Genomic DNA, 24,079 nt, shown 5'->3' on the forward strand with positions numbered 1-24,079 from the left:
GAAGACAGGGTGAGCTCACATGAGACCTTTGAGGTGTTCAGAGCAGATGTAAGTGGGAGGCTACTGAGTTGGCCCAATCTAGAAACAATGATATTTTCATTTGCTGCATGAGTTTCAGCCATCAGTGAAGAAAAAAGTTCGTAAGATATTTGCTCAGAGAACAGAAAACCAAACACTGCATATTCTCGCTTAAAAGTGGGAGCTTAACAATGAGAACACGTGGACACAGGGAGGGGAACAATACACACTGTCAGAGGGGTGAGGGAGGGAGAGCATCAGGAAAAATACTTAATGCATGCTGGGCTTAATACCTAGGTGGTGGGTTGATAGGTGCAGCAAACCACCATGGCACACGTTTACCTATGTAACAAACCTGCATGTCCTGCACGTGCACCTTGGAACTAAAAATAGAACAAAATAAAATAAAATAAAATAAAATAAAATACATGTTTGCTTAGAAGTACAAATCCACATTGCATCTAATCCACTCTTACAAATTGCCCTTGATTGAAATGTTTGTTTGTTTTTGCCACCTCGGACTCCAAGCTTTTATGTCCTATTAAGTATGTGGTAATCAGTTGAAATGCCTTGTTTATAGCATTGCCAGTACTATATTCAGAAATATTCCTAGGCTTTCTATCTATTGCATTATTAAATCAGAGCATGGTTCAAGTTCATATTCCTTCAGAAGTACAATTTATTAACAAAATAATCATGGCCCAGAGGAAGGAGTCAATAGAAAATAGAAGGCATTTACCAATTACTAGGAATTTGCTTTGTTTTTATTTTTGATAGATGTTGGTTGTAACCTATACATATTCTTTGCTAAGAAATAACCCTTGAGCCATGTAGAGTCAGGAGTTGGGCCCCTTCAGAGGCTGAGGTTTGCTGCTTCTGTGTACTTTCCTTCCAAACAAATGAGGTTGGAGAAACAGGTTGATCTCCAGAATGAGAAACTCTTCAGATGCTTCCTGCCTTTTTATATCTGCATTTCAGAATCAAAAGAGCTAAATTAGAGAATTTATTAATAGTTAAATTTCAGGTATCAATTCTGATATAAGTAATATCTTGTGGAAATGTCTCTTATATTTGAAGTATTCTAACTGGCCAAATCAAGTGGATCCTTCCCCTTAATTACTGATTGGTAAGCTTTATCTTAGTTTAAACTTGAACAAGACCAGTGGTTTGGCAATTTTAAATAAATTATATTCATGCAGCTATTCAAAAGTTGTCAACATGCAATGAAAAGTGTTCAATGAAATTAGTTGTTAATACTGACAACAGGGATTGTATAGCACACATACATTATATATTGCTATATTAATCTGACTTTGAGAGGTAACAGGATGGGAGGGACACAGGTTGGCAGAATACATAGGAGAGGAAACAAAGCCCTTCTTTTTATTTATTTATTTATTTTTTTAGACGGAGTTTTACTCTTGTTGCCCAGGCTGGAGTGCAATGGCGCAATCTTGGCTCACAGCCACCTCCGCCTCCCGGGTTCAGGTGATTCTCCTGCCTCAGCCTCCCAAGTAGCTGGGATTACAGGCATGTGCCACCACACCTGGCTAATTTTTGTAATTTTAGTAGAGATGGGGTTTCACCATGTTGGTCAGGCTGGTCTCAAACTCCTGACCTCAGTTGATCCATCCAGCTCGGCCTCCCAAAGTGCTGTGATTACAGGTGTGAGTCACGTGCCTGGCCACAAAGCCCTTCTTAAAGCCAGTACCATGAGGAGGTAGCAAAACTGGGAGGAACAGCTTTGTTACAGCCACAGAAACAGAATTATTAAGCACTGGGGCTCTCAGACAAAATCTTGCTGTCCCACTTTTAAAGTGAGCAGAAAGCAATTGCATGTCGGTGAGCAACTGGATATCAGCAGCAACAATGACAGGCTGGGGATTACCAACACAACCCAATGTTTTTCTGGTAGGTTTTAGATTTTTGCACTACCCCAGTGAATGACTGCAATTATTAAGCCAACTGAGTGGCATGGGGATCCAGGGAGACAGAGAGATGAGAGAGAGAAAACGAGAGAGAGAGAGAGATTTAATTAGAATAAAGAAATAATATTTATTATACATGTATCAAATGTTAGGGGCAAAAATTTTTTGATTGAATTCCAATAGCTTTTATGTTCACTATGCAAGATGCAGACTAAGGTACTAAGTGACCCACTACCAGCTCCTCCTCCTCATCTTATCTGCATATTCTCTCTCTCGTTTACTCCTTATTTTATCCCACTCCATCCTTTCCTCAGTAATATTGAAGAGGAGCAATTGTACCTATTTATAACGTACACAGGTCAACATGGGTGTTTGCAGGTGTGGGCAGTATTTCCACCTCCCTTGCTATGTGCTGTTGAGAACATGGCAATATAGCAACAAATATTATGAAGAAGCCCTTTGGGATAGTCTGGGTTGCCTTCTTATTTGCATGACGTATGACCAACCTGTTGGGTGACTGTTTCCAGATGTCCTTGAAACTCAATAAGATGCTTTTAAAATGTCATCTTAATGACAGCTGCCACTTTTGAATAATCCTATTCTGGTGATCCTGTAATATTAGCTCTCCCCAGGAATGCCCCTGTGATGGTTAATATTAGCTGTCAACTTGATTGGATTGAAAGATGCCTTGATGGCTGGTAGAGTATTGTTCTTGGGTGTGCCTGTGAGGGTGTTGCCAGAGGGGATTGATATTTGGGTCAGTGGACTGGGAGAGGAAGACCCACTCCCAGTGTGGGTGGGCACCATCCAATTGGCTTGCCAGCACAGCAAAAACAAAGCAGGTAGAAGAAGATGGGATAACTTCCCTTGCTGAGTCTTCTGGTTTCCTTCTTTCTCCTGGGCTGGATGCTTCCTTCTGCCCTTGGACATCAGCCTGCAGGTTCTTCAGCCTTTGGACCCTTGGACTTAACACCAGTGGTTTGCCAGGGCCTCTCAGGCCTTCAACCACAGGCTGAAGGCTGCACTGTTGGCTTCCCTGGTCTGGAGACTTTCAGACTTTGACTGAGCCACTACTGGCTTCTTTCTTCCTCAGCTTGCAGATGTCCTATTGTGGGCCTTTGCCTTGTGATCGTGTGAGCCAGTTCTCCCTAATAAACTCCCTTTCATGTATACATATGTCCTATTAATGCTGTCCCTCTGGAAAGCCCTGACTAATACAGCCCCCAAACATTGTGGTATTGAAGTTATAGTTTCAACAGTGATTATTACAATAGTAACAGTTTCTGTTTATGAAGCATTTACAATATGCCACACACTGGGCTACAACCTTTATATGAATTAGGGCTTCCAGCCACCTCTACATTGAAAACCATCAGTGACATCACATTGTTTTTAGGAGGAATACCCAATGGTCCCCAAGGCTTAACCTATTCTGGCCCCTACCTTTCAGGTCTCATTGTCACTCATCTCTCCCTCATTTCCTGTACTTCAGGCACACACCTAGAGCTCTTTAAACGCTCAATTGCTCTCCTGCCTCTGGACTCTTTCAACTGCTGGTCTGGCTGCCAGAGCACTCTTCCTCATGAGAATGCACTCTGCTTTGCTCTCGTGCTTAAGTCTTGTTCATTGTCATATGTTCTTAAAGACCATGTTCCCTTTTCTTGGCGCACACATGTCAATTTGCTATATGTCCACTGATGTCATTGTCTTTCTCTCCATTGGTACCATGAGAAGGGGGTGGACTCTACTTGTGTTCATTATTGCATTTCAGCTGATATTATCTGATATACAGTAAAGGATCAATATTAGTACTGAATAAATAAAAGTATGAATGGATTCTGTTTTGCCAAGGCTTATATCTATTTTATATTAGACCTTAACTCTCTATAAAGAGACTTGTTTCTGTGGCAGCATTTTTTTTTTTTTTACCCATCTCACAGGCATTTGGAACCCACTACAGGGGTCAATGAGTGACTCGGTAACTCTGTCAGACTAGACATGTATCCATTTCCCCAAAGTCCTGGTCACTTCAAACACTGTTAGAAGTCCCACTACACAGTTCTAATCCAATTGATCTATGTGCTGTCTTTTAGACTTTGAATAACACTGTGGTCTTATCCAAAGGGAAGAGAAGGGTATTGATATTTATCAAGGGCCTGCTTTCTTCCTGGAACACCGTTTGGTGCCTTTCATACATTCAGTTGAAATAACTACCAGTGCATTAAAAATAGAATAATAATTTTAAGGTATTTTGGAAACATAAAGACCTCTGTAATATTAACTACTTTAGAACATTTCTTAGAGGACTGAGTTTTTGAAATATTCAACTGCACCTGCATTGCTTAGTGAGATAACTCACTCCTCTACAGATAACCTTTGTGAAAATAAAAATGATTTTTGGCAATGTCATTCCCTGGAGAAAATCTGATAAACTTAAAGTGATTGCAAATTATCCCCCAAAAGATCAAGTGTCCTTGTTATTGTTAAGCCAGTCTCTGCAATTACAAGATTGTGTAAGAAAGCAAGAGTTGTCTTAACTAATGTACTGAACATTTAACAATTAGTTTCCAGTAAAGTTCTCACCCCACCTACCTTGAATGTCTCTCTGTCCATTGCATCAACATATTTGGTGGTTGTTGCCTGTTGATTCTTTAAGAGGTTATGATTTTTATTTAAGTAAAATGCTAATCAACTGGAATGGCAAACTTTGAGGAAGATGAAGGATTTCCAAAAAAAGAAGAAAGTAACATTACGGAACTCTTTAATCACATGTCAAACTACCACCAAATGAGTCTGGCAGAGTGAGAACAGTTAATGTCAGAAGAGGAGAAAATCCACGAGGACTATGACATGATAGGTGCCTCAAAGAGACAGATCTGAGAATCAAAGAATTAAAGGGAGTACTGGCAAAATTGATGAGGCTGTTTATGAGGTGTTTATGATCTTGTGACACAAGGGCCATGTTTACATACAATTTTGAAGGGAAAATTATGATCTATTAATCAACACCTAATTCATTGTTTATTACATAATTCATATTTACTTAAAAACTATTGACAAAATGAACTAATTTCCCTTATATTATTTTGAAAGAGAAATGCCCAAACATATTAACCTTGTTCAACATTTAGTATGACACCTAGACCTCCTTGTAGTAAATTTACTTCACATGCCTTTTTCCAAGTTTTATGCGCCCACACATAATGAAGACTAAATTCAAGTCACTAGGTTTTATCTCTTCCTTTCAAATAAGTTAAGTAAGCTGTTCCCCTGATTTTTTGCCCACTCTCAATCATTCATGCCAGTCTTATATAATTAATTTTCAAGGTTAAAACTTGTATCATATCTTCTCCTTTCCTGCCTCATTCTTTATATATGTTCTTATTTATCCTGTGGAAAATGTCTTTGACACAATAGAAATACTGAGGAAAATGTTATCATTAATATTTTCACACATTTCTTCTGCATGATGAATGACTATGATCTATAAGAGCTGAGTGTTATTATGGTTATTGTATCATTCTTGCATTGCTATGAAGAAATACCTGAGACCTAGTGATTTATAAAGAAAGCAGGTTTAATTGGCTCACAGTTCTGCGGGATGTACAGGAAGCATAGAACTGGCATGTGCTTCCAGAAAGTTTTCTGGAAGTTTACAGTCATGGCAGAAAGCAAAGTGGGAGCTAGCACAACACATGGTGAGAGCAGGATCCAGAGAGAGAGGGGAGGGTGCCATACACTTTCACACAACCAGATTTTGGGAGAACTCACTATCACGAGGACAGCACCAAGAGGATGGTGCTAAACCATTCATGAAAAACCCGGCCCCATGATCCAATCACTTCCCACCAGGCCTCACCTCCAACACTGAGGGTTAAATTTCAGCAGGAGGTTTGGGTGGGGACATACATCCAAACTATATCAATTGTGATAACAACTTCTCTAGTTAGGATGTTCTCTGAATAGTGAATCTCTTTCTTGGATACTTTTTATAACGATCCATGTGATGAAACTGCAGCTAATTTTCTATATTACCTGATTCTCATGAAGTCACCACATTTTTTTTCACGTTTGCAAAGACAGAAATACTAATAGTGTAACAGAATGCCAGATCAGATCACCGATCTACTGATAATTAACACAAGTGAAGTCAACGTACCTTTTTAATCACTATATTGAAGCACTGTTGATTCATTTATTTAAAAAGTTGAAGTAAAAATTAAAAATATTCAGGATATATTAAATCCATGAGTCAGCAATGAACACATTATATGGGGCCAAGATTTTGCTTAGAGAAAAATGACTTCAATGGGTTCTTAATTTATTTTTATCTGAGTTTTATTTTTGGTTTGAATTACCCAGATAAATTCTTTAATGCATTTTTCTATGTAAATTAAGTGGAAGAATTATGTATTCAGGTGAAAATAAGTGGGTAAGTCTATTCGTATACGCAGTCTACCAAAAGTAATTTACTGAATTCTTTTTATGTTCTTAGTTCAAAATTATAGGCTTGTAGGACAAAAAGAAATAAGGTATGTTATGTAACTTACATTAACACTGAAGTATATAGAAAGGAAATAATCAATTCTCTTAGTATCTTTGGCAGCAGTACTAAATATTTTAAAGTTTCTACTGTATGATTTAATTCATTGTAATATCTGAGAAAAATACACTAAAGTATAAAATGTACCAACTGAAAAAGACATGCTCATACATGAATACCTTTAGTATACACTGATATATATGCACACATATTTAAAATGTATATGTAATATTACACTTAACGAATAATTTAGGAAAATATCTAACAAAACTTTAGCATTCTATCTTATTATATATTTATTTTAAAACAGCTGATTTACTTTAATGCACTAATCATTTCAAAGAAACTACTTACAACTTTTTATATACAGTTTATCATGAAAGGCAAATTAAATATGAATAGACCATAATTTTATGAGCTCCAACTTGCCACAAGAAAATTATTTTTTCTGTTGTTTTAAAGAAAATGATTGCTCTATAGACTAATTGATTTAATAATGGATATAGACAGACCTCATTTTACTGCACTTTACTATGCTCTGCAGATACTGTGTTATAAATGGAAGGTTTGTTGAAATTGTGCATCCAGTAATCCTATTGGCATCATTTTTCCAAACAACATGTGTTCCCTTAATGTCTGTGTGTTACGTTTTGAAAATTCTTGCAATATTTTAAAATTTGTCATTATTAATATTACAGCTATTATGGTGATCTGTGATTAGTGATCTTTGATGTTACTATTGTGATTATTTTGGGGCACCACACACCATGGCTATACAAGAAGGCAAACTTAATCGACAAATGGTTGTCTGATTGTTGTTCCACTGACTGGAAGTTACCCCTTCTTTTTTCCTCTCCTTGGGTCTCTCTATTCTCCAAGACAAAATAATATTGATGTCAGACCAGTTAATGACTCTGAAATGGCCTGTAGATCTTCAAATGAAAGGAAAAGTCACACATATCTCACCTTACATCTAAAACTGGGTATGATGAAGTGAGGAAGGGATATTGAAAGCTGAGACAGGCCAAAAGCTAGCCCTCTTGCATCAAGCAGTTAGCCACATTGTGAATGCAAAGGAAAAAGTGCTTGAAGGAAATTAAAAGTGATAATCCAGGGAATATACGAATGATAAGAAAAAGAAACAGCCTAATTGCTGATATGGAGAAAGTCTGAGTGTTCTGGACATACAATCAAGCCAACCACAACATTCCCTTAAGGCAAAGCCTAATCCAGAGCAAGGCCCTCACTCTCTTCAATTCTATGAAGTTTGGAAGAGGTGAGGAAGCTGCAGAAGAAAAGTTTGAAGCCAGCAGAGGTTGGTTCATGAGGTTTAACGAAAGAAACTGTCTCCATATATAGAAGTGCAAAGTCAAGCAGCAAGTGCTGATGGAGAAGCTGCAGAAAACTATCCAGAATATTTAGCAAAGATTATTGATGAAGGTGGCTTCAATAAACAACAGATTTTCAATGTAAATGAAAAATCCTTACATTAGAACAAGATGCCATCTAGGACTTTCATAGCTAGAGAGGAGAAGTCAATGCCCGGCTTCAAAGCTTCAGAAGACAAGCTGACTCACTTTTTAAGTGCTAATGCAGCTGGTGACTTTAACTGGAAGCTAATGCTCATTTACTGTTCCAAAAATCCTAGGGCCCTTAAGATTTATGATAAATCTACTCTGCCTGTGCTCTGTAAATGGAACAAAGCCTGGATGATAGCATGTCTGTTTACAGCACAGTTTGCTGTTTATTTTAAGCCCACTGAGACCTGTTGCTTAGAAAAATATTTCTTGCAAAATGTTACTGCTCATTGACAATGTACCTTGTCACCCAAGAGCTCTGATGAAGTTGTAGAAGAAAATTAATGTTGTTTTTATGCCTGCTTACATAACATCCATTCTGTAGCCCAAGGATCAAGGAGTAATTTCGATTTTCAAGTCTTATGATTTAAAAAGTACATTTTGTGCTTGCTTACACAGCATGTTTATTAAAATTAGAATGATACAGAGAAGATTAGCATGGGCCCAGCACAGGAATGACATGAAAATTCTTGAAGAATTCCATATTTTTGAAAATTAAAAAAAATTACAAGGGTATAGTTGCCATACATAGTGATTCCTCTGATGGATCTGGGCAAAGTAAATTAAAAATCTTCTGGAAATAATTCAGCATTCTAGATGCTATTATGAACATTCATGATTCATGAGGAGGCCGAAATATCAACATTAATGAGAGTCTGGAAGATGTTGATTTCAACTTTCATGGATGACATTGAGGGGTTCAAGGCTTCAGTGGCTAAAGTAATTGCAAATTTGATAGAAATAGTAAGAACTAGAATTAAAAATGGAGTCTGAAGATATGACTTAATTGCTGCAATCTCATGATAAAACTTGAACAAATGAGGAAGTGCTTCTTATGGATGAGCAAATAAATTTTTTTGTTTGTTTGTTTGCGATGGAGCCTACTCCTGGTGAAGATGCTGTGAACATTGTTGAAATGACCACAAAGAGTTTAGAAAACTTAATTTGATAAGGTATTCTAAATGCATAAACTTAACTGATAAAGCAGTGACAGAGATTGTGAGGATTGATTCTAATTTTGAAAGTTCTACTATGGGCAAAATGCTATCAAACAGCATAGTATGCTACAGAGGAGTTTTTCATGAAAAGCAGAGTCAATCTGTGGAGCAAGCATTTTTGTTTTCTTATTTAAAGAAGTTTGCACAGCCACCCCAATATTCAGCAACAATCACCCTGATTAGTTGGCAGCCATCAACGTCAAGGCAAGACCCACCACTAGCAAAAGATCATAACTCTCTGAAGGTTCAGATGATCATTACCACTTTTTTAATATAGTTTTTTTAAATTAAGATATGTACATTATGGTTTTACACATAATACTATCACACACTTTATATACTATGCTATAAAGTACACATAACTTTTGAATCCCTTGGAAAACCAAAAAAATTTTGTGCCTTACTTCATTATGATATTTACTTTATTGTATTTTTCTGGAACCAAGCCTACCATATCGCTGGGGTATATCTCCTTTCCATCTTGTTTCTCTAGGAATTTGTGATAGTTAACAGAAAAGGTATATGCAATAAAGCGGAAAAACACAAGTTAGAACTCAGAGTTAAGAATACTAGAAATTATAATAAGAGGTCAATATCATGGTTAACAACAACACAGATACTCAGGTCATAAACTTCTACACTGCTGTTATAATTGAGCTTTGAATTTGTTTCTAGGACTTCTGGCAGCTGAAGTGAAATAAGGAGGTGAGAAATTGTATAGACATTATTTTTTCTTATGGAAAAGTAAAGAAGGTATTTAGACGTGGATGATAGACATGTTTTTCTGTACCAGAACATTTCAAGTGCTTCCAATTTTGTTTTGGAGATTTATTATTATTATTTTTAGTAAATCCAGTGCAGTCTTAAGTACAATCTGTTGCATATCATTTTATTCTTGGCTTAACTTCTAAATATTTGTGTGATTTGAGTAATTCCTTTAACTTTTCTTGACTTTGGTTTCTTCATCTGTAAAGGAAGGGGACTGGGCAAGATGACCTGCACTCAAGTCCTTTGTAATTCTAATATCCCACATCCAATGGGTTCCCATTTTCCCAACATAGAGAATAGCACTTGCTATTTAAAAAGCCAAGTTTGCCTTTTTATAAGTTTGCTTATATTGTATAGGTGAGTCTCTTCTTAGGAAGAAATAGTTTTAAGTTAGGGGTCACCTGTCAATTATGTCAAATTCTCCTAAGAATTAAATAAGAGAAGGACTGATCAGTTTGGTTCATTTGCGAGAGATCACAAGAAATGAAAAGTTAATTTCAGAGTGGAATGAGTATCAACTTCCTGGTGTACTGGGTATCTACTTCCTAGCATGTCTCTTTACATCCTTTGATTTGTGGCCCCAGCTGTACTCACTGTGTAATTGGACCCACACACTGTTAATGTAAGGAAGGCAGGAACTGGGTCTTTCTTACTCCATTGAGAGTCTTGAAGGTGTCAGGAGAGAGTGTCTGCTCAATAAATGTTGACTGACAATTGACTCTTGAATCTTCTTACTCCTATTGACATGCTACCAAAATCAGTGTTTTGTCAACCCCTGAAGTCCTAGCACAGATGCATCTAACATGAGATTTAGCATCTAATGTCATTGTTTATCTTGAAAATTTTTGGAGTCAAAATAACCTTTGAAAATCTCTTAAGAGGCTTATAAATTATGGTATGTTGGATTTTGTGAAAAAATCTTATAAAGTTGTGTGTGTGTATATCCTATTTAAGAATGTATAATATATAATAAATGTACAAGTTAAATATGTTTACTATATTTTTAATCATATGAGGATGAAAGAGAAATGAAAGAATAAAAAAAGGAAAATGATAATGTAGCACCGTATTTGCAAGAGTTAAAAGCATATGATACAACACCATTCCATCCCTAAATAGCAGCAGCTAGATTGTGGACTATGAAATGGGCAATGTGTGAATTGATAACAGGATAAGTATGATTCCCAGTTCACACTCCATGTCTCTAGGAGAAGCCTACAGGCCATGGTATTTATTGTTATTATCTGGAGCTGGTCCATAGGACATACCTCCTGACTACTTGCACAACTGGTCAGGGTGAGACTCATTTCTCCCTTCTTCCAACTTCATCGTCATATCAATACATCCAGGAATATGTTGTTAGGTAGTGATAAGGGTCTTTGGAAGTCTAGAGCAAAAAGAGTTCTGTGAGATCCTTTGGAAATCTTCACAAGCCAATGCAAAGCCTATCTGATCACCCACCATTTCAACCCTGAGGGTAGCTGGGTCAGGCAGGATGGGCTAGGTTATACTACAATATCACACAATTCCAAAACCCCAGGGGATTAAGACCACAAAGCCTTATTTACATTTCTTACTCATGCTACATGTCCATCATGGACTGGCTTGGGGCTCTGCTCCAATTCAACCTCATTCTGAAACTCAGGCTGTTGGAACAGCCACAACCTGAAATCTGTTAGTCACCATGGCAGAAAGTAAGAGAAATGAAGCAAGTCACACATGAGATCTTTAACACTTACACTGGAAGAGACACATATCCCTTCTGTGCACTTTGCATTGGCCAAATCATATTATGTCACTATGTCTTATATCAAGAAGAGCAAGTACAATCCTGCCCTATGCTTAGAAGTACAATTGGAAAACTTGCTGAATAGCATTAATGACCACTGCAATAAACATGTGCCAAAGAGTGAATTTGGTAGGGTTTCCAGGTCCATCCTGATCTGGTTTTATGTTCTTGAATAATCTTTAGTTGTTTCAGCTCAGGCACACTGAATGACTCACGTATGGCAGAGGAGGAACAAATAGCCTTGTCCCTCTTCCTTTTTATTTAATAAAGAAAGAAAGAAGGAAACAAGGAGAAAGAAACAAGAAAGAAATTAGTCCTAGTAGAATTTCATGTGTCATTTGATGGCCAGAAAGATCAGTTTTTTGTTCAATTAATGCCTATGGTAGACTGAATAATTAACTCCCTCAAAGATATCCATATCTTAATTCCTGAAATCTGTAGTATATGTGACATTGTATGACAAAGCAAAATCAAGGTTCAAGATGGAATTAAGTTTACTAGCCAGCTGATCTTAATATAAAGATTATGCTGGATTATCTAGGTGACCTGATGTAATCACAAGGTTTATTAAAATTGAAGGAGGGAGGCAGAAAAGGAGGTCAGAAGTCAGATGGTGTGATGGGAGAAAAGGACTCAACCCTCCATTGCTAGCTTTGTAGATGGAGAAAGGTGGTCATGAGGCAAGCAATGTAAGCAGCCTCCGGGAGCTGGAAATAGCAATAAGACCATTTCTCCTGCGAAACCTCCAGAAAGGAATGCAGCCCTGGCGGCACCTTGATTTTATCCCAGTGAGATCCATGTCAGACTTCTGACCTACAGAACTGTGAGATGATAAATGTATTGTTTTAAGCCACTCATTTTCTGACAATTTTAAAAAGCAGCAATAGAAAAGCAATACGATGCCTTTATGTTTTTTGAACTAACTTGTACTTCAAAAACCATGGCTACTCTAACAAGTTCATACACTATTTCAATAATTTGGCTCTGTAATATGTAGTTAAAAGGAATAAAAGGAGGCACATTGGTCTGCATGTTATTGTTATTTTCTTTGGAGAAAAACTCTGTTAATCCATGTGGCAGAATATGTCACCTCTTCTACCTTAAGGAGAAATGTGGCTTGGTGTGCAGGTAGAGGCTTTAGTGTCTGAATTCTTAGCTCTATTGGGAACAGATACAAACTTTCTAATTCACATGCTAAACTTTGTTGGCTGTCACTCCCTGTGTTTCCATTGCTTCCTGTGGCTGTGTCAAAGCCTCTTATAGCATCCACCCATCTTTGTAGCTGCTTTTAATTCAGAGACCGTATTTTGAGAAAGACTGAATCAAAAGATATTCAGAAAGAAAGTGATATCTTGAGATTACATAGTAAGATAAACATAGGCAGGAACCTTTTTTTTTTTTCTCATATGCTTCAATGACGTTCTCAGAATTTGGGGTGAAAAATGTCTGAAATAAACAAAGCTATGTGGCATGAGAAGGTCTTGAAGGACTCCGGAGTGGAAATGTACTGGCATTAGAAAACTGAGAGGAACAGTGATGGAGTTAACATTAGACTTTGAGTTTGAAATCCTAGAGACCAAGTTCTGGCTCGGTCACTCACTACATGAGTAAACTTTGACAAGTCGTTTAACTTTTCTCAGTCTTCGTTCCTCGTCTTTAACATGGGAATATGACGCTGACTTCCAGTTTCCATTTGGAGATACTATTATTTTACACAAGATTTTTGGCTTTCAACAAAAAATTACCAGCCCTGTTGAAAAGCAAGGAAAATAGAAAAACACTTCCAAGGGATGAAGCAACCAACAGAACCAGACCTAGGTATGGCAGAGATGTTGGAACTATATGGCAGGGAATTACAAATCATGATTATAATTTAAATGGTTCTGATGGAAAAGGCAGATGGCATGCAAGCTCGCATGATTAGTTACAGCAGAGAGATAAGAACTGTAAGGTAAAACTAAATGCTAAATGGAAATGCTAAAAATGTAAAACATGGTAACCAGATGAAGAATGCCTCTGATAAATATATCAGTAGAATGAACTTAGCCAAGGAAAGAATCAATGAGCTTAAAGATAGGTCAATACAAATTATCCATCTGAAAAAAAAAAAAAAGGAAAAATAAAGGAAACAAAAACAAAATTATAAAAGAATATCCAAGAGCTGTATTCTAATATATATGCAATTAAAATTCTAGAAGGAAAAGAGAAAAGCAGAACAGGATAGGAAAACTATTTTAAGAAATTATGGCTGAATTTTTTTTCGGAATTAATAAGCATGAAGTCACAGATCCAAGAAGCTCTTTGGATAGAAGAGAAGTTAATACTAGGCAGAAACTTGGATCTATGCAAATGAAATGTCAGAAATGGAATAAATGAAGGTTTTTTTTCATATTTCTAATTATTCTAAAAATATCTGATGATTTAAAGCAAAATATATAGTGTGTTTATGACATTTGTAAAAATAAAATATGTGATGATATTAGCACAAAAGATCAGAGGAGATAATTTGGAATGTATACTTGTAAAAACCTCACACTGGATGTGAAGTGGTATGTTAAAATTTGAAGGTAGATTCTGCTTAATAAAAAACATCTAAATCCTGGAGCAACCACACACTTTTAAACAAAAGATAAATAATGAATCAATAAAGAAAGTAAAACAGAATCACAAACAAGTTCTCATTTAATGCAAAGCAGAGCAGAAGTTTTAAAAAGGAATAAAAAACATATGACACAAATAGAAAATAGCTAGTTAATTTATCCCTATCTACAATCTTAACAAATGCGAATGGTCTTAACACATCAATTAAAAAAAGAGATTTTTAGATGAGATAAAAAGGTAAGATACAATACCCTATCTATAAGAAACAACTTAGATTTGAAGAGATAGATAGATTTTTTTAAAAAGATAGAAAAAAAATAAGCCAAAAGGAAGACAGGATATCTATGCTAATATCAGATAAAGTCAACTTTATCTCTGAGTTATGTGAGCTATTCACCAGTATTAACTTAAAAAATCTATCATGAAACCATCATATTTAGAGGAGTTCATTCAGCATGATGGGAAGCAATGGCTAAAGACTCAGTATTTCTTGTACTTCATAATACTGTCTCAAGCCTCACATCCTTTTCAAATGTTTGAAGTAGTTTTCGCATTTCCCAGATGATGAAAATAAAGCACAGAGTAGGTAAGCATTTTGCCCCAGAGTGGATAACCAATCACTAATATGTGACAGAACCGGGATCTTAATTACCGTGCTATCTTCTTTACAAAAGAGTTTCTGTAAGTATAATGCTGCTTTCCACCTCTGGGGGAACATTAAAAACAATAAAGCCCAATTCTCGAAGACAAGCTTTCTTTTGGATGGGTGGGTATTGCTTCAGTTCTTTTAAAGGCCTTGATTTCACCCACCTCTTTCAAGAGAGTAAGACATTTATCTGTATCATACCCAAGGGAGAGTCCCTGCTACAATACAGGTTGTGGCATTATAGAAGACTAAAGTAGGAGTGACATAGAAGATAAGTATATCCAAGTATATCCATAGAAGATAAGTATATCCTGGACGTCAGCACATCCAGGAGGAGGCAGAGAAGCAACAGGTCAGGTAACTTGCCCAGACAGTCTCAGCCATTAATTTCAGAACAGGACTAAGCACCAGGTCTCCAAATATCAAATACAGGGCTGGGCACGTGGCTCACGCCTGTAATCCCAACACTTCGGGAGGCCAGGGCAGGTGGGTCACCTGAGATCAGTTTTAGACTAGCCTGACCAACATGGTGAAATCCCGTCTCTACTAAAAATACAAAATTAGCCGGGCGTGGTGGCGCATGCCTGTAATCCCAGCTACTTGGGAGGCTGAGGCGGGAGAATCGCTCAAATCCCGGAGGGAGGTGGAGGTTGCAGTGAGCAGAGATCGCGCCATTGCACTCCAGCCTGGGCAACAAGAGCGAAACTCCGTCTCAAAAACAAAAACAAAAACAAAATACAAAACAACAAAACAAAAAACCAAATACAATACATCACTGTTTCCTCTTCCCCTCCTTACAATTATTTGTAGCTGTAACTCTGTAACACCAAGAAAAAACTCAGTTCAAATGAGTAGCACTAGCCAAAGGAGACCACTTGTAAAACAAAATATATCCTAATCATTCATTTATGAGATGATTGTAAGGACCCATTTACAAGATCATGGAGTAAGGACCCATTTACAAGATCATGGAGCAAGGGCCCATAAAACTTGCCAGTATCTGAAGTGTAGTTTTAATGTTGGTCTTTTAAGCCTTTTTTTTTTTTTCTGTTGGGAATTGCCTTCAGAATTCCAGTCTCTTAACCAACTATCCACAACCCAGCAACAACGTGGACTCTCAGAGTTTGAGGCACCAGGACTTTCTAATTCCTAGTTCCTTTCTCTATAGGAAATTGTACCTCTTGGGCAGTGTTACCCTGAGAAGAGAGTGAGACTTGGGGAATGTGCCCACAGCTCAGTGCTGGCCTTGAGGACAGTATGTATTCCAAGACAGAGAATGAAGTTAAGTGTACTCTTAAGGCAGTATTTCGTACTTGTCCCTGTTCCTCAACTTAAGAGTAATGGATTAATCTTTTCTGAAAGTTTTTCATAAATAGGACAAAGAAATTTAAATATACTCTTAAATATCTCCTTTTGTGCAAATCTAAAATCAGTTAACCTTTCTATAAAAACTTGGTGATGGAAGATCATAGTCCAGTATACAGTATTGGGTTGTTTGTTCCATTTTAAAAAATCAATTTTATTTTTCCTGGAACTAACATACTGAGGGGTAAAATCTTGAGATTCTGATGAGTTTTAGTGAAATGTGTCTGCATTAAACTTTAGATTGGTTAAAACAAAATGACAGGAAGCCTATATACATTATTACACATGGAGAAAATCAATCTAGTTTTTTCAAAAGTTTACATTTGATGAGTTTTGATCTTATCATTCGAAATGCCATATAAAAATTTTATTATTAAAATAGAATCCAGTAAACCAAGCAAAAAGAACAAAACAGTACAGTATAACAATGCAAATGTTTAGAAAACAGGGAACTCTCTTAACATTCAAATTCAAGCTTAGATATGGCCAAGGTGACAAACTATTTCTATTTGCTAAAAAAGATTATTTTTAGCACTTGTTGGCTTTAAAAGATGGTCTCCTTGCTTTTAGGCTGCCCCCATGTGTTCTGATGGTATCAGTGTTTGTCCAAATTGTGTACCAGAAATTCTTTTTCCTTCCATTTAAAATAAAGTATGGATTTTCAATCAGTACACAAGAGAAAACTGGACTTGAAGGCAGAAAAATTTTGTGGATGACCTAGCTCTGCTACATAGAATTTATATGGATTTTTAAATACAATTATTTCCTTTATTTAATTTCCTTTGGCTTCAGAGTTTTCAGCTAGGAAATGGAGATGATAATATCTGTCATGATTGACTCACAAGGATGTGATGATCAAATAATTTAATATATTAGATAACACTTGATAACACCTTACGAAACACACGCTAGTTACCAATATAAAAGTGAGACTGACTTTTTTTCTGTAAGTGGAAACTACTGCATTGTAATACAGTGTACTATAGAACACACTGGATGGATGTCCTTTGATTCTTTTTTTGTTTTTCTAATATCTAATTTTGCGACTTAGCAAATCAAATCAATTTTCCATAAAATAGATGACTAAAGAACCTCTATCAGCGATTTTAGATTAAAAAAAAATCCCTCTTAAATTTTTTTTTTCTTGATGGACTACTAGTCAGAAAACACTTGGATTCCAGGTCTATAACGCAACTAACATGGAAACATTTAATCTCTGCACAGCTTGGTTTCCTTATGGACGATATCTTCCAGCTTTGATAACCAGTGATTTTAAGAAATCTGTGACGCAATCCACATAATTTACTGCACCTTTAAAAATGAAAATATTCATAGTAAAAATGAATTAGAGTTTTCACAGAAGGAAGGGAATACAGTTTAATAACTCAAAGAACCCAAAACATTTCCTTAAAAAAAAAAAACATGTTTTACAGTTTCTGAAGTATATGAGTCAAATTTAGTTTTAATATCAATCATCACAGAATATTGCTTGATTGAAATTTCAGTAATTTATATTTGTGTTTAATTGAAAATTCTAAGAAAATGGAAAAGCCAACATAAAATATATTCTATAATTAACTCAATGTTATTAAATCATTTTGTTTTCTCTAATGATTAAGTAGAATGTCTTAAATTGTTTTCTAATTCTTAAGAGAAACAGTGATTTATAACCACCAACTTAATTTTATTAGATACCAAAAATGTTTTCAGACTTGGACATCACAAGCCTTGACAATAGCAATTTGATATTTGCTGATCATTGTTGGTTTCTTCGAAAAGCTTATGTGGAATATTCAATAATCAATTCTTTAAAATGCAATGTTTTGTGAACAAGTAGCATGACTAATACATGATTTGTCTACACCATTAAAAATTTTAATTTTCTTTTTGCATCCCAATCCCTATGGCTTTCAATTAAGTCTTATAGAAAAGGAATGGTGTTTCTTGTATACAATGAAATAGAGGATTGAATCAACTCATGTACAGGAGTTAATTTACATGATTAAGAATGCTAATAAAATACCCGAAATTACTACACTGATTTGTGGATTAAGAAGGCTAATAAAATACCGGAAATTACTACACTGATTTGTGGAAATTGGTGAATAAAAAGTCAGGTTCAAAAAGCTTAGTTTGCTGCAGCTGATATTAAGCCTATATTAACATTTTGATAGGCCACTACAAGATACAGAGCAATATCATCAGAGTTGCTTTGCTCTTTATAAGGTCATTTTATAGTACTGAGACAGAAATAATTGTAATAAATTACTGGCACAATGTGTTTCTAGTAATTTAGAAAATGTTCCGGTATTTGAATAGAAATATAATCAGGATTCAGGCGCAGCTATATTGGTCTGTAAAACCGGATTAAAGCAATCAATCTGTTATCAAAAATCTCTGTCGGAAGATTATTAGGACCACCCAATTCACCGTTTCAATTCTAATGACCATTTGCCCTAGACAGTAGAATAGATAGGTGGAGAAAGTGAGCTTCCAATTTACATGACTTTCCAAACACCTTAATGCCTTTGCGTAAACATCACTGGCAATTTTTTTTAAGTTAAAAAATCGGCAAAATGGAAAGACAGCGGTGGTCCTTTGACCCTGTTCCGCTGGGGCAGGGATCGGGAGGGTGGGGATTGAGACTTCACTTAAGAGCTGCTTCAAGGAGTGCACAGAAACCACAGCGGGCCTTTTCTGAACCATTTGCTATCCCCGCAGCGAAGGGACGCTTAAGGAGGAAGTGCCTGTGGAGCTGAGAAAGCGTTATTTCATCGCGGAATACAAATAATTCAGGTCTCTAGATGGCAGCCTTCAATGCCTTTGGAAAGCAGTCTCTCTCCTCCTCCGCCACCCCCACCTCCCCTCCCACCGCATCTCGGCTCCTTGGCAATGTAGTATCACTCCATGTGTGCCCTGGCCAGTGGATATTGGGTTTTGCTGCTCTCCAAGAATCCGAACTTAAAGTGTTTATTCTAGGGCCTGGTGCTCTGCTCTGGAAGCTACCTACCTACCTGCTTGGGGAAAAGAGGGAGTAGGGATGGCACGAAGAGCCACGCTAAGCCGCTGCCCAGGAGAGGTGGGGCTGCGCCGCAGCCAGGACACCCTCTCCCTGGGAGCAACAGCATCCTTGGCTCCCGGCGCGAGCGCTCCGCGCCCAGCGAGCGCAAAGAGCGCAAAGGCCACCTGCCCGGCTGGGGGAGCAGGCCCAGCACCACCGCCCCGATTTACCCAGACATTTATGGGAAAGACATAAAAATCTCAGGTTCTTAATTTCGCAAAGGACTGAGTTAGAAGGAGTGTGGAACAGGGGCAAAAAAGAGACAGGAGAAAGAAACACACCCCGAAAAACACGTTACTCGCACCCGGCAGCGCCTGGGGTGGCGTCCGTGACCTACCCCGGTGTGGGGGACGAGCAAAACCAAAGGTGTTAAAGAAGGAACTCGCAGACTGGCAGGGGGTGTGGGGACGGTGGAGGACTGTGGGACTGCAGGGGACCTAGGTGTTTTCTGCCCTGTCTTAAGATCTCGCTTTGGGGGCAGTCTAGGTGTCGGTCGGGGGTGAGGGACAATCTTCCCCACCCCAGCAGCCCCAGACACCCGCCCAGGTCAAGGTGGAAGGAAAGCGGGGGTACTTTGCCCTAGCCCGGTTCCCTCCTGTTTTAGACCTTGGAATCTGTCTCTCCACAAGGTGTGAAACCTCTCCAAGCTGTGTCCGCGGAAAGTCCGGCTCCTGGCTCCACCTAGGGCAGAGCAGACCTCCGTCCCTGGGCCTTAGAGGCGGGCACGGGGCTGACCCCCAACCCGTGCCACTCCAGCGCACAGGCCCCACTCAGCATCGCGCCCTGTGGGGCAGTTGACAGGGTCCCCTGTAGCTCCAGCGAGGCTGGGCCGGACTTATTTACAAGTGCAGTGACCCCTGTCTCCTCGCTGGGAGCCCCGTGCAAACCGAAGCGCTCTGGGGCAAGTTGGTGAGCGACTCACAACGCGGAACGGAGTTTGATCGACATGGTATTGGGCATAGAAAGAAGCGGGTCTTACCTTGGTACCGAGAGCAGGGAGTTGCCATCCATTGTTGGTGGGCGCCCAGAGAAGAAAGACGGAAAGTGCAGGCGAAGGATAAGTCTGTGGTGCTAGGACCCAGCTCCCAGAGTGCCAGACTGGCGCGCGCCAGGAGAGAGGCGCGCAGGCTGGGGCGGCGGCGGCGCCCACGGAGACTAGCTCCTCCCTGGCCAGCAAGCTCTGTGCGCTGCGACCGCCCGCTGTCCCCTCCCGCCGTCCTCTCTGATCTTGCAGGAGCGCGTGGCCAACGCTCCCACCTTTCTGCCTGGCTCCTGCCTCCTGCAGGCGGGCCCCAGTCTCAGTTGCTCGAGGATCCTGCTCTATCGCTCATTCGTGCCCAGAAGCATAGGTGACTCCGACAAAATTCCTCTCTCCCCAACCACCATCGTCTCCCCTCCCTTTCTCGCTGGCGTACAGTAGGTCTGAGCCCTGAAGTTGTTCACGCACTTTCCCACATTCACGCCCTCACTCCTGGCAATGCCGACACTCCCCACTGGTTGCGCGCCACTCCTCTGGCTTCCTGTGTCGATTTCATTTTTGTTTGTGGTCTACCATGTTATGGTCGATCACTCAGAACGATGCTGGCTTTGACCTCCTAAGTCTTTTCCCTTTATTTGGACTTTCTCTCTTGGTTTTGGTTTTCACGTTTCTTTAACTCATTTTGCTTAACTGTGACTTAGTCTTCTCTCTCTTCTGTTAGAACCGTGTGCGCACATAGAAATCTCAAAACCTATGAGAGCGGCCATCCATCCGAGGACAGCACTCAGAACCTGGGAGGGAGAGCTGTCACAAACTTCCCCAGTTGACGGCTGGGTATCTCCCTGAGCAAAAAGGACAGTTTTCTTAAGAAGAAAGACACTGATAGTAGCAAATATCTGCTAAAATGAGGGCGCTGTTGAATCTGCTTCTTTTTCCAATTAAAAAACAAATTAAAAATAAAATTTGGGACTTCCACAAATGGGAAGGTTGAGCCAATGTACTTTTAGCTATTCCTCCTAGTAAGTACAACGAAATCCCCCGGATATTATCTCTGAAACAGGCATGAGAAAAAGGTGGACAGAAGAATGCAGACCAGCTAGAGATCCTGGGACTCAAGGCTTGGCATGATGATGGGTTCCTGAGGTTCTCCCAGACTTTGGCTGAAGAAGATGACAACCCGGAAATGTCAAGGGGCAGAGACAGGAAAAGCCTTGACAAAGGACTCCTCTTTCTAGCCAAAGGATCAGGAGAGAGGCAGCTTAGCAAGATGGAAAATTTACACACAATAATAGCTCCACTGTGGCCAAACACCATGAGAAAAAACCTGTGGACCTTTTTCAACTACACCATCAAAGGCCAAGTAGGGAGCCTACATTTCACCATCTGTAGGCTCTAAGGATGTAAGTCAGTCCCCTGGGCGAGGTGGTGTCAGAGGAGACTAAGTAGGGACCAGGACTTTCATCCCCTCCAAACACTGGCCGCACTCACCTCTTCATGTCTCGTTTCCCCCGTCATGGTGCCAAGAAGAGCTTGAACTTCCACATCCACACAGAAATAATGAAGTCCCCTTCCCATTCCACACATACAGGTGGCATTAAGGCAAAGTAGGGAGCCAGGACTTTTTAAAAAATATTTTTTATTTCCATAGATTTTTGGGGAGCAGGTGGTATTTGGTTACTTAAGTTCTTTAGTGGTGATTTGTGAGGTTTTGGTGCACCCATTACCTGAGCAGTATACCCTGAACCCAATTTGCAGTCTTTTATCACTTACCCCCTTCCCACACTTTCCCCTGAGTCCCCAAAGTCTATTGTAGCATTCTTATGCCTTTGCATCCTCACAGCTTAGCTCCCACTTACGAGCGAGAACATATGTTTGGTTTTCCATTCCTGAGTTACTTCACAAAGAATAATAGTCTCGTGTTCCATCCAAATTGCTAAAAATGCCATTAATTCATTCCTTTTTATGACTGAGTAGTATTCCATCATATATATGTATAGCAGAATTTCTTTATCCACTCGTTGATTGATGGGCATTTGGGCTGGTTCCATGGGATCCAGGACTTTTAATCCTAACAAGGAGTAGCAGCACCGCTTCTTCACCTTGGTATCAGTGGAGCTTGTACTTTCACATCCACAGAGCAGTAATCGGCACCCCCCCCCCCCCGCCCCGCCCCACTTCCACTCTACACTGAAGCAGTGTCAGAGGAATTGTTGTGGAGAGTCAAAAACCATAGTTCAGAAGTAATAAGGCCCTGTGTGTGTCCCCTGCCCCCCACTCCCAATCACAGAAGGCCACATGGGAAGCAGGAACTGGGTACTCCTACCACTCTTAGCCAGAGAGATATCAGTGCAGGCCTAGTGAGGACCCTGAACTCCCACCCACCCTTGCTTCACAGTAATGAATGCCACTACCTGTTTTTCAAGTGTCAACAAAAGCCAAGTGAGGAGCCCAGACTTCTAACCCCACTTGGTAGTGATGAGGCAGTGCTGCCCTTATTTTCCTTGCCTTACAGGAGAAGTGTCAAGAGAATCCGTCTAAAACAGCTCTTTAAATAAAATTCAGAATGTTCTAACATAATGCCCCAAATAAGCAGCCTTTAATAGAAAATTATTTGTCATATTAAGAATCAGATCTGAATGAGAATCAACACAAAACAAAACAATCAATTGATACTAAATAACATGGAAATGACAGGGATGTTAAATGTATCTGTCAAAAGATTTTAAAGCAGCCATGATAAAAATAATTTAATAAGTAATATAAAAAAAATAGAAAGTCAGCCCCTAAAATATCTAAGCAAATATAAGTAGAAGATGTAAAGAAAAACTAAGTGGAGATTTTAGAAGTGAAAAATACAGTAACCAAAATAAAACACAAACTGTTTTATTAGTTGGAGAGAAACATCACTTTACCCATAAGGGAAATATAGTTCAAAAACAGTGGATTTCCCACTAGAAGCCATGGAGGACTGAAGTAATTGACAACATTTTTCAGGTGTGGAGGAAGACAACTATGAACACAGAATCTTATGTCTAATAAAAATACTCATTAGAAATGAAGATGAAAATGGTATAGAATTCCAGCAGAGCTCTCCTAAAAGAATGATTAAAGGAAATTCTCTAGACACCAATGAAACTGTCTTTACAGTTTCAGGCATCTTAGAATATCAGGAAAGAAGAAAACAGTAAGAAAAATTTGAAAGATACAACAGAATTTCTTCTTTTGAGTTTCCTAAACTACATTTGAAAATCAAAGGAAAGATTATGACTTTGATATGCTTCTAAATATAGAGAAAGCATTTAAGACAATTATATTAAAGGGAGAAGGGTAAAGGGTGTAACAAGTAAAGTTTACACATTTTGCTCAAACTGGCAAATTGACAACACCAATAAACTATAAATTTATATATACATATACATACATATATACACATACATACATACACATATATATAACATGCATAGAAATTATAAAGCTATGCACATAGATATACTCAAAAATAATACAGGTTAAATCAATCAAATTGGTTTTATTGATTTAAAAAATTTTTTATTTTAATCATTTAAATGATTTTTATCATTTTAAGATTTTAAAAAATGTTTAACCCATAGTAAAGGAGGAAAAAGGAAACAAAAACAAAAAAGGGAGAAAACAAACAGAAACAAAATAAAACCAAAAAAGGAGAAAACAAACAGAAACAACAAAATAAAACCCTGTCAATTTTGAGCTTAATGTACCAATGAGTACATTAAATGTAAAGGGTCTAAATAGAATGGTTTAAAGACAGAGATTGGCAGTGTGGATTA

General features: G+C 38.4%; 1 protein-coding gene, 1 long non-coding RNA gene and 1 pseudogene across 7 annotated transcripts in view; 1 reads left to right on the top strand and 2 right to left on the bottom strand.

Moving 5' to 3' along the window:
• SPHKAP (SPHK1 interactor, AKAP domain containing) overlaps positions 1 to 20,394 on the bottom strand; it is a 201,733-nt gene extending 181,339 nt beyond the window's left edge. For 4 of the 6 annotated variants that reach the window (NM_030623.4, NM_001142644.2, XM_006712778.5 and 1 more), the window contains exon 1: positions 20,274 to 20,394. In NM_030623.4, the coding sequence (NP_085126.2) occupies positions 20,274 to 20,305 (32 nt within the window). In that variant the 5' untranslated portion in view covers positions 20,306 to 20,394. Of the gene's footprint in view, positions 1 to 11,100; positions 11,220 to 20,273 lie in introns of all 6 variants that reach the window. The other 2 variants (XM_005246870.5, XM_011511925.3) reach the window with 1 other exon arrangement.
• On the bottom strand, positions 674 to 8,308 carry LOC107985993 (uncharacterized). The gene is made up of 2 exons (XR_001739909.2): positions 2,453 to 8,308; positions 674 to 985 (listed from the first exon to the last, which is right to left on the bottom strand). It is a non-coding gene; the product is annotated as an uncharacterized LOC107985993 (long non-coding RNA).
• Positions 8,450 to 8,556, top strand: RNU6-624P (RNA, U6 small nuclear 624, pseudogene; annotated as a pseudogene).
• Positions 20,395 to 24,079: the final 3,685 nt, after the last annotated feature.

The sequence above is a fragment of the Homo sapiens genome, chromosome 2, assembly GCF_000001405.40.
Source record: "Homo sapiens chromosome 2, GRCh38.p14 Primary Assembly".
NCBI lineage: Eukaryota > Metazoa > Chordata > Mammalia > Primates > Hominidae > Homo > Homo sapiens.